The sequence below is a fragment of the Homo sapiens genome, chromosome 11 (assembly GCF_000001405.40).
Source record: "Homo sapiens chromosome 11, GRCh38.p14 Primary Assembly".
Taxonomy (NCBI): Eukaryota; Metazoa; Chordata; class Mammalia; order Primates; family Hominidae; genus Homo; species Homo sapiens.
In genome coordinates this window covers 105,861,718-105,882,307 of record NC_000011.10, presented here as the reverse complement: position 1 = coordinate 105,882,307, position 20,590 = coordinate 105,861,718, and the positions used below count along the sequence as shown (strand labels likewise).

Genomic DNA, 20,590 nt, shown 5'->3' with positions numbered 1-20,590 from the left:
GGCACACTAGAATAGAAATAACTGGTTTTTCTCTTAATTTGATCTTATAAGTCAACTGGAAATTCCTCTCTCCGTTGTTTTCATGTTCCAGAGAATTCAGTGACATGGAGAAAATGGCACAACATATTCAGAGGTGTTAGGGCCATGATACTGACAACTTATTGTCATGAGGGCAGTCACTTTCACTAGTCTTCTTTTTCTATAGAAATTCCAGACTCCCAAATGTTCCCCAAATGTTGATTTTCAAAATGCTTTAAAATATTTTACTGCAGATAAAAACAAAAGCTTTAGTATCACTTCAGTTCCATCAAAAGAAAAATATAAGGCAAGGGTCTTTTGCAAACAAACAACAGACTTAAACTACAACCTTGTAAGATAACAGCAGGACTTCAGTTTCAGGGCTGTGATGTAAAATGGGGTGGGAAAAATAAAGTACTTCAGACCCCAAAAAACTAAGGCTGTTTTGTGTGAGATGAGATTTAGGAGGAGGCTAGGTAATGTAAATTCTTATCAGATATTTTAAAGGAAATGATACACCAATGCACGTACAAATTTGTGTGTAGGTCTGTGTGTGTATGTGTGTATGCAGGGGCGTGTGTGTGTGTGTGTGTTTATTTTCTTCTATACTTGGAGACGTCAGAAATTATGGAAGTTTCTAATTAGGAAGAACTCTTTTTTGGAGGACGGAGAGAGAAAGAAGAGTTTCCCATAAAGGGAATGGCTGCCTCTCAAAGTAGTGATCTCTCTGTCACTGGAAGTTCCTAGCAAAGTCTGACTGACTTTCAGTGAAAGATGTTGGGATAAGGTGGTCCTTTGGGTGACAGAGTCCTGTAAAGCCATACAGTCTGATGTCTCTATGGTCACTCACCATAATAGACACTATCAATGTCTTGCCTCATCTGTTTCCTTGTCATGTCAATGCATACTTGCTCACCTTCCAACTGCCAGCACCTGAATTTCCTTGCCTGTAGGTTTTCTGTGGTCTACAGAGCTGATATTGCCCTTGGAGAAGGAAGAGTTTAGAAGTGCCAGAGCATTAATGTCCTCCTTCCCAGCAGCCCACATACAATTCCTGAGAGGAGTTGGTACATAAGTACTCCAACTCCCTTGCCCAACAAATGACATGATTCCTAAGTGTTTGTTCTACACTAGCCTCCTCCAGTAATTAGTTTACACTCATTCCAAATGGAATTAACCCCCTGTCACCCAGATGGCAATTTGCTTGATAAATGCATCTTTCATTGACTAAATTTCTCTACTCCTCTTCCAGCCTGTTCTTTACTTCCCAAACAAACTGTGTGCACACAGATCTTTGTTTTAAGGTCAGCCTCTGGGGGAAATCAACTATGACAGTCTCCAAGTAAACCATTGTAGTAGTAGAATTGATAATGTAAAAAAATACTTTTGTTGGCTAATGATCCCAAGCTTTTCATCTCTGTATCATTCTATATTTATATTTAAATACTTACTCTCTAGGTATTATTAAAAACTCAGGTTGCATAAGATACCATACCTCTATTTGGATATCTAAACTGTTGAAAAAGGTTTACTGTCTCACATAGGCTAATAGGAATGACTCAGTGTCTTTATTTAGTAAATTATTTCTATTTCTAACAAAATTTTCACCTTCAAAATGTCTTCACTTGTGAATATCCATTCTTAGTACCGGTTTTTTATTATTTCTTTTTCTGACTATTCCAAATATTAAAAAAAATGACCTTCAGTTCCATCCTTTCAGGTCACAGATTTTAGATCACTTTATATGCATCTCTCCCCAATTTTATTGATTAGCAAACTGAGTGCCCTACAAGAGATATGGTTTGGATAGGGTCCTAGAACTATAGAGTGAAAAGCAAGTGCTGAAATTCAGCTGTTTGATTCCTTGTCCTGTGTTCGTTCCATGCCACCCCTTTATCCCACCATGGAACTGCCAATGGCTATTGAAAAGCACTTGTAGAGTATATCCTTCTCTCTGCCTATCATGGTGGTTCTAAAATTCTACATCTACAAGCCTTGGATAATAAGATTCTCATCATCTCAACTATGAACAATTCTTAGCACAGCTCCATTTTGATTTAATAACATTTTAATTTAGTGATTTAAAATATTTGCAAAGAGGTGTAAATGATTGTATGGCATTTGTGATTATGAGTTTGAAGCACATGTAACAGCTTGAAAGAACCATTAGAAGCAAGCTCTTTTTAAATTAAGGAGACATTTGTAAGAAACAATATAAATATAGTTCTAATAAGATGTAGAATTATTAGAAGGGGTGGAAGGGGTAATTCCTTCCTTTCATAAACAATTACATTAAATAAATATAGGCATTAAGTGATGAAGCTGGAACTCCAGCTGGGTCTTTTGACTATAGTTTCCATACTGTTTTCACTACACCCTGTTCCCTTCTTTAGACCACAGGAATTCAGACTTATTTTTAGCCAATGTTAATATATCTTTCATAAGAGAAAAATGAATAAAATATATACCTGTGAGAATAACATTGTCTATCATATTAGATAATTGATGAATACCAAACCTGTTTATGAGAAATCCAAGCTTTCTCATAATGAAACAAAGACACAATTCTTTCCTTACAAATAATCTCTTGTCTGAACATATTGCTGATTTGAATAACAGTATATATACAAAGTACTCCTAATTCCATTTTGTATGGGGCTAAGACAGGGACACACAGGTGGAGAATTATCAGGTAAACTTTAATGCATCCTAGTCTGGGTTTGCAGTTTCTTCATATATGCATAATAAAGCAAATTAGCAGAAAAGCTTAAATAACTTGGATTTATTTTTGTGTAGCTTGTACTTTTCCAAATGTATATTGAAAATGACAGTTCATGTACGTATCCCAAATGTAAGGCAAATACAACTCAGTCCAATAGGTAATTTTATTTATGTACAACAAGCTCAAAGTAATCAATTAAAAATGAAACTACCGGGGACCTGGGCAAGATGGCCGAATAGGAACAGCTCCGGTCTGCCACTCCCATCGAGATCAATGCAGAAGGCAGGTGTTTCTGCATTTCCAACTGAGATACCTGGCTCATCTCACTGGGACTGGTTAGACAGTGGGTGCAGCCCACGGAGGGTGAGCAGAAGCAGGGTGGGGTGTCACCTCACTTGGAAAGCACAAGAGGTCAGGGAACTCCCTCCCTTAGACAAGGGAAGCTGTAAGAGAATGTGCCATGAGGGATGGTGCATTCTGTCCCAGATACTACGCTCTTCCCACAGTCTTCACAACCTGCAGACCAGGAGATTCCCTCGGGTGTCTACACCACCAGGACTTTGGGTTTCAAGCACAAAGCTAGGCAGCCATTTGGGCAGACACTGAGCTAGTTGCAGGAGTTTTTTTCATACCCCAGTGGCACCTGGAATGCCAGTGAGACAGAACCATTTACTCCTCTGGAAAGGGGGGCTGAAGCCAGGGAGCCAAGTTGTCTAGCTCAGTGGATCCCACCCCTACGGAGCCCAGCAAGCTAAGATCCACTGGTTTGAAATTCTCGCTGCCAGCACAGCAGTCTGAGGTCAACCTGGGACACTCCAGCTTGGTGGAGGGAAGGGCCTCTGCCATTACCCCACATTGTAAACAAAGTCTCCAGGAAGTTTGAACTGGGCGGAGCACACCATAGCCCAGCAAAGCCACTGTAGCCAGACTCCCTCTCTAGATTCTTCCTCACCATACAGGGCATCTCTGAAAGAAAGGCAGCAGTGCCAGTCATGAGCTTATAGGTAAAACTCCCATCTCCCTGTGACAGAGAACCTGGGGGAAGGGGTGGCTGTGGGCACAGCTTCAGCAGAATTAAACATTCCTGCCTGCTGGCTCTGAAGAGAGCAGTGGATCTCCCAGCACAGTGCTTGAGCTCTGCTAAGGGACAGACTGCCTCCTCACGTGGGTCCCTGACCCCTGTGCCTCCTGACTGGGAGACACCTCCCAGTAGGGGCCAATAGACACCTCATACAGGAGAGCTCCAGTTGGCATCTGGCGGGTGCCCCTTTGGGATGAAGCTTCCAGAGGAAGGAACAAGCATCAGTCTTTGCTATTCTGCAGCCTCCACTGGTGATACCCAGGCAAACAGGGTCTGGAGTGAACCTCCAGCCAACTGCAGCAGACCTGCAGAAAAGGGTCCTGACTGTTAGAGAAGGAAAACTAACAAACAGAAAAGAATAGCATCAATATCAACAAAAAGGACGTCCACTCAGAAACCCCATCTGAAGGTCACCAACATCAAAGACAAAAGGTAGATAAATCCATGAAGATGAGGAAAAACCAGTGCAAAAAGGCTGAAAATTCCAAAAACCAGAACGCCTCTTCTCCTCCAAAGGATCACAAATCCTCACCAGCAAGGTAACAAAACTGGACAGAGAATGAGTTTGATGAATTGACAGAAGTAGGCTTCAGAAGGTGGGTAATAACAAACTACTGCAGGCTAAAGGAGTATGTTCTAACCCAATGCAAGGAAGCTAAGAACCTTGAAAAAAGGTTAGAGGAATTGCTAACTAGAATAACCAGTTTGGAGAAGAACATAAATGACCTGGTGGAGCTGAAAAACACAGCATGAGAACTTCGTGAAGCGTACACAAATATCAATAGCTGAATTGATCATGGAGAAGAAAGGATATCAGAGATTAAAGATCAATTTAATGAAATGAAGCATAAATACAAGGTTAGAGAAAAAAGAATGAAAACTAATGAAAAAGCGTCCAAGAAATATGGGACTATGTGAAAAGACCAAACCTACATTTGATTGGTGTACCTGAAAGTGACGAGGAGAAAGGAAGCAAGTTGGAAAACACTCTTCAGGATATTATCCAGGAGAACTACCTCAACCTAGCAAGATAGGCCAATATTCAAATTCAGGAAATGGAGAGAACACTACAAAGATACTCCTTGAGAAGAGCAACCCCAAGACACGTAATTGTCAGATTCACCAAGGTTGAAATGAAGGAAAAAATGTTAAGGGCAGCCAGAGAGAAAGGTTGAGTTACCCACAAAGGGAAGCCTGTCAGACTAACAGTGGATTTCTCTGCAGAAACCCTACAAGCCAGAAGAGAGTGGGGGTCAATATTCAACATTCTTAAAGGGTAGATTTTTTAACCCAGAATTTCATATCCAGCCAAACTAAGCTTCATAAGCGAAGGAGAAATAAAATCCTTTACAGACAAGCAAATGCTGAGATTTTGTCACCACCAGGCCTGCCTTACAAGAGCTGCTGAAGCACTAAATATGGAAAGGAAAAACTGGTACCAGCCACTGCAAAAAACATACTCAATTGTAAAGACCATTGACACTATGAAGAAACTGCTTTAAGTAACGGGCAAAATAATCAGCTAGCATCATAATGATGGATCAAATTCACATGTAACAATATTAACCTTAAATGTAAACGGGCTAAATGCCCCAATTAAAAGACACAGACTGGCAAATTGGATAAAGGGTCAAGACCCATCGGTGTGCTGTATTCAGCGACCCATCTCATGTGCAAAGACACATATAAGCTCAAAATAAAGAGATGGAGGAAGATTTATCAAGCAAATGGAAAGCAAAAAAAAGCAGGGGTTGCAATCCTAGTCTCTGATAAAACAGGCTTTAAATCAACAAAGATCAAAAAAGACAAAGAAGGGCATCACATAATGGTAAAGGGATCAATGCAACAAGAAGAGCTAACGATCCTAAATATATTTGCACCCAATACAGGAGCACCCAGATTCATAAAGCAAGTTCTTAGAGACCTACAAAGAAACCTCGACTCCCACACAATAATAGTGGGAAAATTTAACACCCCACTGTCAATAGTAGACAGATCAAAGAGACAGATAATTAACAAGGATATTCAGGACTTGAACTCAGCTCTGGATCAAGTGGACCTAATAGACATCTACAGAACTCTCCACCCCAAATCAACAGAATATACATTCTTCTCAGCAACACCTCACACTTATTCTAAAACTGACCACATAACTGTAAGTAAAGTACTCCCTAGCAAATGCAAAAGAACAAAAATCATAACAAACAGTCTCTCAGACCACAGTGAACTCAAACTAGAACTCAGGATTAAGAAACTCACTAAAAACCCCACAACTGCATGGAAACTGAACAACCTGCTCCTGAATGACTACTGGGTAAATAACAAAATTAAGGCAGAAATAAATAAGTTATTTGAAACCAGTGAGAACAAAGACACAATGTACTAGAATGTCTGAGACACAGGTAAAGCAGTGTTTAGATGGAGATTTGTAGCACTAAATGCCCACAGGAGAAAGCAGTAAAGATCTAAAATCGACACCCTAACATCACAAGTAAAAGAACTAGAGAAGCAAGAGCAAACAAATTCAAAAGCTAGCAGAAGACAAGAAATAACTAAGATCAGAGCAGAACTGAAGGAGACAGAGACACAAAAAAACCATTAAAAAAATTAATGAATCCAGGAGCTAGTTTTTTAAAAGATTAACAAAATAGATAGACCACTAGCTAGACTAATAAAGAAGAAAAGAGAGAAGAATCAAATAGACACGGTAAAAAATAATAAAGGGGATATCACCACTAATTCCACAGAAATACAAACTACCATCAGAGAATACTATAAACACCTCTATGCAAATAAACTAGAACATCGAGAAGAAATGGATAAATTCCTGGACACATACACCCTCCCAAGACTAAACCAGGAAGAAGTAGAATCCTTGAATAGACCAATAACAAGTTCTGAAATTGAGGCAGTAATTAATAGCCTACCAACCAAAAAAGCCCAGGACCAGACAGATTCACAGCCAAATTCTACCAAAGGTACAAACAGGAGTTGGTACCATTCCTTCTGAAACAATTCCAAACAATAGAAAAAGAAGGACTCCTCCCTAACTCATTTTATGAGGCCAGCATCATCCTGTTACCAAAACCTGGCAGAGACACAACAAAAAAAGAAAATTTCAGGCCAATATCCCTGATGAACATCAATGCGAAAATCCTCATTAAAATACTGGCAATCCGAATCCAGCAGCACATTAAAAAGCTTATCTACCACGATCAAGTCGCCTTCATCCCTGAGATGTGAGGCTGGTTCAACATATGCAAATCAATAAACATAATCTATCACATAAACAGAACCAATAACAAAAACCACATGATTATCTCAATAGATGCAGAAAAGCCCTTCGGTAAAATTCAACACCCCTTCATGCTAAAAACTCTAAATAAACTAGGTATTGATGGAACGTATCTCAAAATAATAAGAGCTATTCATGACAAACGCACAGGCGATATCATACTGAATGGGCAAAAGCTGGAAGCATTCCCTTTGAAAACTGGCAAAACACAAGGATGCCCTCTCTCACCACTCCTATTCAACACATTATTGGAAGTTCTGGCCAGGGTAATCAGGCAAGAAAAAGAGATGAAGTGTATTCAGATAGGAATAGAGGAAGTTAAATTGTCTCTATTTGCAGATGACATGATTGTATATTTAGAAAACCCCATCTTCTCAGCCCAAAATCTCCTTAAGCTGTTAAGCAACTTCAGCAAAGTCTCAGGATACAAAATCAAGTGCAAAAATCACAAGCATTTCTTTACACCAATAATAGACAAACAGCCAAATCAATAGTGAACGCCCATTCACAATTGCTACAAAGAGAATAAAATACCTAGGAATCCAACTTGCAAGGGATATGAAGGACCTCTTCAAGGAGAACTACAAACCACTGCTCGAGGAAATAAGAGAGGACACAAACAAATGGAAAAACATTCCATGCTTATGGATAGGAAGAATCAATATCATGAAAATGGCCATACCGCCCAATGTAATTTATAGATTCAATGCTATCTCCATCAAGCTACCACTGACTTTCTTCACCGGGTTAGAAAAAACTACTTTAAATTTCATATGGAACCGAAAAAAGAGGCTGTATAGCCAAGACAATCCTAAGCAAATAGAACAAAGTCAGAGGCATCACACTACCTGACTTAAAACTATACTACAAAGCTATGGTAAACAAAACAGCATGGTACTGGTACCTAAACAGATATATAGACCAATGGAACAGAACAGAGTCCTCAGAAATAACACCATACATCTACAACCATCTGATCTTTGACAAACCTTACAAAAACAAGCAATGGGGAAAGGATCTCCTATTCCATAAATGGTGCTGGGAAAACTGGCTAGCCATATGCAGAAAACTGAAACTGGACCCCTTTTGTACACCTTATACAAAAATTAACTCAAGATGGATTAAAGACTTAAACATAAGACCTAAAACTATGAAAACCCTAGAAGAAGACCTAGGCAATACCATTCAGGACATAGGCATGGGCAAAGACTTCATGACTAAAACACCAAAAGCAATGGCAACAAAAGCCAAAACTGACAAATGGGATCTAATTAAACTAAAAAGCTTCTGCAGAGCAAAAGAAACTATCATCAGAGTGAACAGGCAACCTACAGAATGGGAGAAAATTTTTGCAATCTATCCATCTGACAAAGGGCTAATATCCAGAATCTACAAGGAACTTAAACAAATTTACAAGAAACAAACAACCCCATCAAAAAGTGAGCAAAGTATATGAACAGACACTTCTCAAAAGAAGACATTTTTGTGGCCAAGAAACATGAAAAAAAGCTCCTGATCACTGGTCATTAGAGAAATGCAAATCAAAACCACAATGAGATACCATCTCATGCCAGTTAGAATGGCGATCATTAAAAAGTCAAACAGCAGATGCTGGCGAGGATGTGGAGAAATGGAAACAATTTTACACTGTTGGAGGGAGTGTAAATTAGTTCAACCATTGTGGAAGACAGTGTGGCCATTCCTCAAGGATCTAGAACCAGAAATACCATTTGACCCAGCAATCCCATTACTGGGTATATATACCCAAAGGATTATAAATCATTCTACTGTAAAGACACATGCACACGTATGTTTATTGCAGCACTATTCACAATAGAAAAGACTTGGAACCAACACAAATGCCCATCAATGGTAGACTGGATTAAGAAAATGTGGCACAAATATACCATGGAATATTATGCAGCCATAAAAGGATGAGTTCATGTCCTTTGCAGGAACATGGATGAAGCTGGAAACCATCATTCTCAGCAAACTAACACAGGAACAGAAAACCAAACACTGCATGTTCTCCCTCATAAGTGAGAGTTGAACAATGAGAATATAGGGACACAGGGAGGGGAACATCACACACTGGGGCCTGTCAGGGAGTGGGGGGCTAGTGGAGGAATAGCATTAGAAGAAATACCTAATGTAGATGACGGGTTGATGGGTGCAGCAAACCACCATGGCACATGTATACCTATGTAATAAACCTGCACATTCTGCACATGTATCCCAGAACTTAAAAAAATAAAAAAAGATACACCATGTTCAATCTAAGATATTCCTGTGAAAAAATTCTCAGTAAATTAAAAAATAAAAATTTACAGTTCATTTATATACAAAAAATTAAACTATTCACAGTATAGTTCAATGGTATTTACATCTTATGGTATACTTTTTGAACATGATAATTCCAAAAGTAGTAGTATATACAGTTAATTTTGTTTAACCAGAAAGTCAAATATCTAATTTCTTGAGATGTCTCTAATTGGACATATCAATGAGTAGATATCTATTCTTGAATTATAAAGAAAACTTGATGGGGCTGGTGGTGATGGGAATAAAAGTTATCTTCAAATATCACATACTGTTATGAATGTTTCAAAGGGATATATCATTAGGGAGGAATACTTGCTGAATTTTAACGTCAAATATGTTGAAGATGAAATTGTTCAACTGTGGAATTCATAAGCACCTGGTGAAGATTTTGTTCACAGGATGGATGAACTTCTAAGAACCAGTCAACCTGAGAGTCTATGATTCTGTGATTCTCCAGTGTAGAGGACTGTGTGAGCCATTGGCTCTGGGAGGCTTCTTTTAATATGTGATGTTCTCACCCTAGCCCCTTGCTGTTATATATCTTTTCTTTATTATATTTGAGATAATATCATCTGAATGTCCTTTCTTCTTTCATTTTTCTTAAATCAAGTTTTCTTTTATTTTCTTGGATGAATACAAGGCAAATAAATTATAAAGAAGTGGCTTCAAAGTGTTTTACAGCCAATTTTACAAAGAACACTAGGTTAAATAAGGTTTAAGAGGTTTCTTTGCCATAGGAATTTTTAGAGACTTCAATATGCTAATGTACAGTGAAGTCTCAATAGCTAGGGTATGCAGTTCTGTAGAGCAGTTTTAAAAGGTTGTTTAAGGACATTCTTCCTAGAGCATTATCTTTCACTCACCTCCTTCCTTAACTTTCACATACATTTCTGACTTTATGTTGCTTTAGCATAAACATAAATGTTGCTTTAGCATCATTTTCTTATTTCCCTTCAGTGTTGATAATCTATACCCACAAAAATGACTCAATTAGACTATAAAATATGTTCAGTTCATAATTTTGGAAGTAATCTTCAATATTAAATAACTTCAGCTAATACCATTTTTGGTCAGGGTTTTACATTTGCATGTTTTAAATTATATTTGACATGAAATTGTGATTAATTCTGAAAGTCATATGACTTCAAAGTCATTCTCTTTGCTTTTATTTCAGCAGATTTTTTTTTCACATTTGAGTTTATTTGGGCTTTGTTATGCTATACTTCAAATATGTAATAGACAACCAGCTTCCTCTGAAGTGGATTCATAAAGACACAGATGTAAGTAGATACCCTGTCTTTATAAATCAGTTAGACATATTTACATTTGTTAAAATGATTACTTCCCATATTATTAAAATAAATATTATTATAAATATTATTTTAAAAATCCCAAAGGTCTAACTATAGAAATAAAACACAAAAAAAAACCTCTCCCTAATAAACTAGATTGACCTATTTGCTGTGGGTATGTAATTTTTGCATAGCAAGCTCAGTTTATTTTGCCTATATTTGTCCACAGGCCAGTCAAAACTTAAAGGCTATTATTCATATTGACTAGCAATACTATTAAAATTGCCAAAACAAATTTATTTTTCTAAAAACCCTACTTGGATTAGTTACACTTCTTAAAATCTTAACAAAAATGGTGTTTGGCAAATTAGACATTTAATAAACAAATTTAATACATTAATAATTTCTCATTATCACTATATGGCATTATATATTTGTTCCTTTATTGTGTGGCTTCCCCACTAAAATATAAACTGCAATGTGCAGGGGTTTTCCTAAGCCGAGGATATGCCTGGCCTGACCTATAACAGGCACTCAATAAATATTTAAGTAGATGTCAAACAAATTAAGTTATACACTGGTATAAATGTGACTATAAAAAATATAGTCTACAGATGAAGTATCATTGTTTATTTGCTACACTCCTTAGTCACCAGGTACACTGCTCAGTCACTTGGCTTTCTACCTTCTTTCTGGTTCATTCTCTATGTTGTCATCGGAATTATGGCTCTAAAACACGACGTCAATCATGTTTAAAAACATCCGATGACATCTATGATGCAATGATGAATTTAAAACTTCCTAGTAAAGCCCATGAGGCCACTCATAATCTGCCTTTAATTTGCCTTGGCAATCTCATACCCTCTGTGGTTAGGCTCCATCCACATTCACTTCTTTCCCAGGACACGAAGCTCTCTCCTATTACCCTGTTCTCACACATGCCATCTTCCTTGAATGCTCTTTCCCAGCGTCTCTGCCTGGGGAATTCAAACTCCCCTTTCAATAATTTGCTTCTGTCTTTTTTTTTTTTGTACCTTTCCACATTGTGCTGCGTTATTTGATTGTGTTCTTCTGTTTTTCTTTGCATTCAGAGTTCCTTCACAGCATCGACTAAAATTGATGTAACTTATATGCAGTGCTTGGAAATTAGTAGGTACTGGATAAATGTGTGTTAAATAAATGACCAAATGGATAAGTGTTGTGGTACAGGTATAAGAAAGGAAAATAATAGAATGTGGTGGGCAGAGACAAGAAAATTTGTTTCTCTTGTGTTACTGCACAATATTTATATAATTATATTATGAACACAAAATTAATTATAAAATTAGAATAATTTCTAAAAGAATTAGAATAAATTATAAAAACAGAATATATATTAAATATAGAATATATATATTTCATCACACATGCACACTATATATATAATCCCCAGCATGAGTTCTGTGGTTTTAAAAAGAAAACTTTAAGTCAAATACGGAAGCAAATTATGTCTAGACTTTGGATGAATAATAGAACTCTTTGGTATATATGGCCCTGGGAAAAAACTTTAAAAAATGGAAAATAAATTTCTTATATCCAATCTTAAACTGTCTTTCATTTTTATCTTTACCAGTGGTTATGTGAACCTTATCATTATTATTTTGGTAAAAATTACACTACTTTATTTCCTTCTAATCTTAAACTTGTCACAAGTTGTATATGAGATTGGAGAAAATCTGTATCAGCAGGGAACTAGTGTCCAATTAGGTGGCTAATCTTGAGGGAAGGTTTAGAAATGAATTTGTTCCATTACTTTTCTGACTGAATCAAAGTGGATAAAACAATGTAGCACTTCATTTGCTGGCAGAGAGCACACTTTATTACTGAACTGTTTAATATAAATACTGTATAATTTATAAAAATGTAGTTATGTTTATGATGTTTACAAGACTCAGAAAAGGGTCCTCAAAGGTACTGTTGAATGTTTTGCTGCCTTTTTGTTAATCTCACTGCCTTTTAAACATTTAAAACATTTGAGGAGTAGATGCAAAATTCTACTGAAATAATTATGATGTTATCCTCTCTTTTCTACCTAATGAGGAATATAACTTACCTCTCCCTAAACCACAGTAGATACTTGTATGCAGCTGCTTTTGATTTAAGGCTAGAAAAACTACTTCATTTTATACCTCTAAAATTATCAAGCAGATTTTCCTTTATCTTTGTAAAAGAAGCTGAAGTTTTGGATGTTTCTGTCAAAAACAATAGTAGAAATTGTTCCAGTAAGTGTTCTTGCAGCATCAACTAAAACATATTTAGTTGAACCTAACCTAATCGTAGAATTCATGATTCTTCCCAGACAAAAGCACTTGCATTCTGACAATCATATTTTTCTTCTTCCTTGAAAAAACTTATATCCTTTGGCTCCTTCACTTTGCCTTTTATTTTATCCTATTTTTTACTTTATAAGAAAATGAGGTATGGCTGCAACCATGGTAACAGTTGCTAGGAGACAATTAGACACCCCTTTCTAACCCCCACCAATTCCATTTGCACTAGTCCAGCAGATCTGTAAAGGTGTTTCTGTTTTCCATGAAAACAACAAACCTAGTGCATCATAATAGGACTTGCACATTCGAATCAGTTCTGCTAAATAGTAATATTAAAGAAGTAAAATTCACCTTCTTAGCAAAACCTCACATCTTTCGAGTTTCTTCTTACTTTGTTGTAGATCCTGATTGAGCAAAGCTCAATATGCAAAAGGAGCTTTATAATGAAGCAAAGCAGCAAGCTCTGCCAGTACTGCAGTGCGGGAAATTGCTGATATGACTGCTTTGCTGTAGTAATTTCTGTGAGTGCCTGATTTGTTCCTGTTGCATCTCACCCATTGTTACTTTAATATATGGAAATAAAACTCTTGCTTTTTTCAGCCTGTACAACAAACTCTGGGACATGTAGGTGTCCCATAATCTTGGACAGGTGAAATTCTGGACAAGAAAGCCTCCCAGGTAATTGAAGACTTCCCTTAAACACGTACAAAATGTGTCTCCTGCCTGTGTCTTCAAGTGAGGCTCATTTAGACTTCCAATTTATTCGACAATTGTTGTTTGAACCCCTATCATCACTAGGGGATGTATTGGTAACAATAAACATAGACTCCGCCCTGATGGAGATAAGATTTCAATAGGAAAGATAGACAACTAAACTGGTGTAATGCAAGGAATCTACATTTCTGCTACCTCCAATCTTTACAGCTTCAACTTTGTCTACTGCTCCGTTTCAGCTTCTACTTTTGCTTCAAACCAATCTTGATTACCTTTTGAGCATTTTCAGATCTCGTTTCCTTTACAGTTCGTTCTGTCTTGGAATACCCTTACCCCTTTTCTCTGGCTGGAAAGATCCAGTGCATTTTCAGTTTAAATGCTTCTTTTCTCTGTGAAACATTTGGGACTGCCTTGATTATACTTAGTTACCCCATCTTCTGGATTCTTCATACATTTTTGTAATATCTCTGTTTCTGAAGCCATCAAATTATTTTGTAATTATTTATGCATGTTTCTGAGTTCCCAGCTTGAGTGTAAATGTTGTGTAAGGACCATGAGTTGCTCACCTTTGTACAGCACGCATTGCAGTGCCTGGAACAATGTCTGGCATGCAGACGTTGAATGAATGTATGAGGTGTCAAGTGCAGAGCTGTCCCACCTACAGTTGTTGGCTCATTCCTACTGTCAGAGTGTATGCCACTGAATCCTATATAGATGATTCAAATAATCAAAGCTGTTATCTCCAATTATGAGATCTCTCCTGTAATGACTCCTCCTCCTTATAACTATAGCTATCTTTCCTCTTCTTATTGTGCTTCTTTTTGTTTCTTCTGTCTCTTCTGTTTTTGAGGGTTTTGTTTTGTTTTGCTTTTTGGCTTTGGTACAAAAAATTGACCTCATGGCCATTAGCCAGTAACAAAAATGTTCCTTTCCTTTTAGGTATTGACTCAACCAGTTATGGGATACAGAGGCAGGCTGTTTAAGCCTTCAGCTCCTTTTAATGCTTTATTCAATATAGAGACTTTTTGGGAGTCCGGGGGAACTGACAGAGTTCTAGATTTGTACGATACCTGATGTTTGAGAGTTGTGAAAATTTGTAAATGAAAACTCTAGATAAATAGGCTTTTACTAAGTATTGCCATGCATTTGACCATTTGCCAAAAATTCTGAGTCCTAACATCTCACTTAGATGGTACTAGACATGGTAGGCAGCCTTGGGTTTAGAATAAGTTAACTGGGATCATGTCCACATTTCATCTCTTATGTGCAAATGGCCTCATTTAGGTTTGAGAAATTTTCCTCTCTTTCTCATTGATCTTGCCCTGAGGTAGGATTATTGGCTTCTTTTGGTCACAGTAAGCCTCTGAGAGGTCAGCCGTGGCTTTTAGGCTTTTTTGATTGATTTGCAAACAGTGTGGGAAGGTCACTGGTTTTGTCAGTAATCCGAGATTCACACTGTGTCTGATGGGACACTAAATTCCCTTTCATATAATGAAAGTGGCAATACTGCTGAAAGGGGTTCCAATTAAATCTGGGGTACATGATAAAGAAGCAGTTTAAGATACCTGTGAGTCAACTGTAGAGACATTTTTCTCCATTCTTTTGTTAAATACCTACTTCATACTCTAAGGTCAGTCCTTACTATCTTTTCCTGATAAATACTTGGTTAGATTCCTTAAATACATCCATGATGTGTACTAGGATCAATATTGTTCTAGTTTTCTATCAAATGCCTTTGATATCTCATCTATTTAATAATAACTGGCATCCATAGCAAAACCCCCAAGGCAGTGTAAGATCCTTTATCACTTTCTACATAATGTATTTCTAAAAGAAATCATATATTTTAGTAGGATTTTAGGAAATACTTTTGGTTTAAACCTTAGTTAACCAGACAGGAGTTACTAACCATAGCAGAAAATGTATCGGTTTTGCTTAGCACTGTATCTTCAGCAGAGCATAGTACCTGAATATATATATATATATATATATATATATATATACACACACACACACACATATGCGTATATATGTATGTGTGTATATATATGTATGTGTATTATATATGTATACACACACTGCATATGCAGTGTCACACACACACACACACAAACACACACACACAACACAGTGGGGACTTAACAAATGTTTGTAGAATGAATAAATATCCAGAAAAGGTCACCTGACTGAAGTTTTACTATTAATACACGCTTCTTTTCAAGGTATATCCCATGCATACAATTATACATTGCTTTAGGATAAAACAAATCATCAAAAAGACTTCACTGCAAACAGCATTATTGACTTTTAGAGACAGCAAGGATTTTCAAGATCATCTCAGCTCAACTGTCCTTATTTAAAGTGAGAACGAGAAGAATCATAGGTGGTTAGTGATTCCATTTACGTTTTAAAAATAAACAACTAAAGATTTCTTATCCATCTCTCAGAGAATGAAAACACTCATTTTCATTTTGTTGGAACCATCATAATTTGGGAGATATAATGTAACTGACCAAAGAAAGAGGTAGATGAGTGCAGACCATCCAACTACCCATTGGGATAATTCTGTTCCAGAGGATCAGAGTTGGGAGTTCATGGGAATAGGGTTTCACTAACAGGAACACACAAATCTAGCTGCTGGACCCTTGGGTTTTTATCACAGTGGAGTAAAATGTGTGAGCAACCACTAGCCTTAAGTGCCATTTTGCTCAATTACTTTGGCTACCAGAAAAAGAGTTAAGATAAGATTTGTTGTTGCTTTTTTGCTACTAGGTTAAACATGTGAACCAAAGTCTGACACTTCAATGTTCAATTGATAACGTTATTAGGTAGAATCCATAGGGACTCTTTGCAAGTAATAGAGTTCAGAATTTAAAATTAATAGATACATGTAAAAATCATAAATAAAAGACTCCCACTATAAATCTCTTATTTTGATATGAAACGGTTCTTTTGATTCCAGCTACATGAAGCTATTGCAAGCTGTTCTACAAAATAATTGATATTTTTGTTATAGGAAGAAAATTAGGTGAAAGGAATAAAGCTAGGGTCCACAATGATATTTATAATATCTTTCAAACTCATAGCAATTTAAGTAAAAATATTCTATAAAAAATTCATCACAAATTCAGCAAACACTTAAAAATACTTCTCATTTTAGATTTCTTTTCAAGGCTTGTTTCTGCAAATGAGTGGACCAAATTGCTCATTGGATTTAGAGAGCCAAAATTCCAATTTGTTTGATTGGTGTTGATATGAACAAAATAAATCTAACTTTGTGGTTTCAATATGTTTCTACTCTCTTAAATGACTCAGTGGGTGATATTTACATACATTCTTCCATTTTTTCTTATGGTGTACATTAAACCATATTTTCAAATACTTGATCTTAAACTCATATTTTGAAATGCTTGAATGAGTATATGTCTAGCTACTATATTAAATAGCAATACATTTATAAGAACGAATTAGTTCATGTCATAAAATAATTTGGAAAACATGTATAGAAGATGAAATGCTTCTATAACCACAGTTTTCCATTAACATATTTTGAGAGAATATTGTCTGAACTATTTCTATTATGTTTTTGCAAATTGATACAAATTAAGATGTCAATGAAGTAATTATTGATGGCATGCTACCATAATATGAAATGTGCCCATCCTTCTAGAAATTTTTTTTTTTGAGATGGAGTTTCACTGTTGTTGCCCAGGCTGGAGTGTAATGGCACGATCTCGGCTCACCACAACCTCCACCTCCTGGGTTTAAGTGATTCTCCTGCCTCAGCCTCCCGAGTAGCTGGGATTACAGGCATGTGCCACCACACCCGGCTAATTTTTTATTTTTAGTAGAGACAGGGATTCTCCATGTTTGTCAGGCTGGTCTCGAACTCCCGACCTCAGGTGATCCACCTGCCTCGGCCTCCCAAAGTGCTGGGATTACAGGCGTGAGCCACCATGCCCGGCCATAGAAATTTACTAATATGAAGTGTGTCCATCCTTCTAGAACTTTATCATCATTGTATTAATTTCACCATCTTCTGAGAAAAGTCCACCTTTTCAAAGGCATTTTTCTAATCAAGATTATTTAGCATTTAACTTTTTACCTTTTAAAAATGCTTTGGTTGGTTTTTTGAAATTGTTTTCTTTTGCTATCTTAATTTATGAAAAAGGATGTTGAAACACAGGGGTCTTAAGATACACGTACAAACCCCTGACAAAGTATGGATTAGCTCTTGTGGAAGAGCCAAGAGTAAAACCAAGAAAACATTGAAAGTTGTTTCATTTAGAGCTACAAGGAATTAAAATACAGATAGTAAACAACAACAACAGCATGTTCAGAATAAAAACACAGCTTTTCTTGGAGGAAAATTTTATAGGACAATTAAGAGTACATTATTTTCTCACAATGCAGTAGACTTTATTGCAATTTATGAGATTTATACCTGAGAGGCATTTTAAATGGACAAAGTTCTCTTACTATTATTATTATTATTACCATGCAACCATGATAGAAAAGAAACCTTTTAGAATTTGGCAAGAAGAATAGAAAAGGTAGACACTCAAGTTTTCTAATTTCTTTAATATGACAAAAAATATATAAGATGTCCAGTTTCTTTAGCAGGAGCTCATTTACGGCTTATTCAGAGTTTATCCAAAGCACCCAGGTGTGCCAATTTTCTTCTTAGAAACCAGCTAAGCCTCTGAAATGGGTCAGTGTGCTTTAGGCACTCAATTGCCTCCTCCAGACTTGGTCTTTTAAGCACAGGTGCTAAGTGGAGGGTCTTTCTGAGCCTTACTCACCCTCTGACAGGAACTTGGCAATCCAGGCAGTTCTTAGAATTGGCTGCTCTGTGGGATTCATCGTGAGTTATTTACAAAGCTTCAGTTGTTCAGGTCAAACAACTCAAACTCTCAATACAGGGGCAGGAGTGGGAGGGAGGGAAATGGGAGTCGGAGGTAAAGTGGCTGTATTGCTTAAGAAAGAAGAAAGATTTTTCTTGGATTCTGTAACTAACCATTTAAAAATTTCATATACATTGAATAGCTACAACTTCAAAAATTTTTTGGACTCTCTTAGGAATAAGCCCGAGTAATGTATAGGCTTTTAATTAATATTTCCCAAAATAACATATATATTTCTTCAGTATATATATATATATATTTAGCTTTTTCTTCTACAAAGGGACGACAGGAAGTAAATACTCTGTTATTTCCTCTTATGGTCTGGCTTCTTTAGACTTTAGCAATACAACATTTTTGTTTGTTTGTTTTCTTTTACTTTTCACTTTTACAAATGCTAATATAGTTGAGGAAGGAAACTGAAGACATCTAGTCCCTTGCCTGCAAATAGTAAAGCTGAATCTCTGAAATATATTTTGGTTTTCATTCTTACAATTGAATACTAAAGTTATTCCTATAAATAAACCTCCAAATTGGCAAGTTTACTAATGGAAATCAAGTCATATAATTATGCAGTTAAGCTATATGTAAAAAACTAACCAACAAAAAATTATATTACCCATGTCTGGCTGAACTAACGTATTGTAGATAATATGAGCAAGCATTTCTAAAACCACTAGATGGCATTCACTCACTGCAATTTTGGCCAAAGAGCCTTTAAAGCTTTATCATGATCTGCAGGGGTAGGGAAAGGCAGATGTTATCCATTATTTGATGATATTTTCCTATCATTTAATACAACGGCAAAGCTCAGTTTAATCTTTTCCTGGCTGCTTCAAATCAAATCAACAAATATTTATTGAAACATTTATTCAAGGACTTTTCCATTTTGAGGAGAGTTGAAAACCATCTCCACTGGGGTAGTAATGTATTGACTTATAATACCTAGCAGAAAACATGCTATATACAGTATTCCACTAAATTATATACAGTATTCCACTGACTTTTCTTTTATTTTATTGCTTTAGTAATTTATGTTGCTGTTTCTCATGTAGCACTTCTCTAAAGTAAGTGTGCCTCTAAAAATGGTGCACCCACAAATTTAGAATTTTTGTACTATTTTTAGATGGGATTAATCTTCAACATTAATATTTTCGAAAACTGGAGGCCAAGAGCTCTTCAAGATTCACACAGAGTCTTTCACTCATTCAAGTCTTAAGAATATGTGAGAAATAGCTTTCTAAATACATTGAGACTTAAGAACCAAAAAGGTCCTTGGTGATAAAAGATTGTGATTTGGTCCTGAAGATAGTCATGGAATGAAAACTCTCAAACCTCACACTCCAAATTAAAAGCTGGGAGAAGATGTTGATGGGGACAAGTCAATCAAAGGTTAAATTTTTCTGTATAGGGTCTAGGTTAAAAATATAAAATCTAGGACTTACCTGTTCTAATATGTTTTGAAGTCTCTCTATCTCACAGTCTATTACAAACTTCTTCTCTTGTCTTCTGTCAAGTTCTTCTAGAAGTTGCCTATAGCTGACATCATTAAAATTTTCCACACATATAGCGCTGACATGCCAACCATTTTGTCCTGCTTTTTCCATAATAGCTTGGAGTATCGAGTATCCTATTGGGGAAAAAAAAAGTTACTAAAAACATGCTTTTACTCCCCTTTAATGATGTATGCAGGTACTGAGCCTATATCAACACTGTTATGTTCCAAAATATACTGAATGCTTAGAAACTTAAAGTCTGTGTGGTTATTTCTGAATAATTTATTCTTACTTTCTTTAGTCATGGCAACAAAATCTCTTAAAATGTTGATTGAATGAAGTAGCAACACCATACCTTGTGCTCTCAAAATCTCTTTACTGGAGAACATTGCATTGCTGTAGACATTTTTTTGATGAGACAAACCCCAAACCAAATCCAC

General features: G+C 36.4%; 1 protein-coding gene across 28 annotated transcripts in view; it reads right to left on the bottom strand.

Moving 5' to 3' along the window:
• GRIA4 (glutamate ionotropic receptor AMPA type subunit 4) overlaps positions 1-20,590 on the bottom strand; it is a 372,097-nt gene that overhangs the window by 99,783 nt on the left and 251,724 nt on the right. For all 28 annotated transcript variants that reach the window (NR_046356.2, NM_001440383.1, NM_001440386.1 and 25 more), the window contains one exon: positions 20,100-20,284. Coding sequence is in view for 27 of the 28 variants with exons in the window: in NM_001440383.1 (NP_001427312.1) it covers positions 20,100-20,284 (185 nt within the window). In the remaining variant the exon portion in view is untranslated. The remainder of the gene's footprint in view (positions 1-20,099; positions 20,285-20,590) is intronic.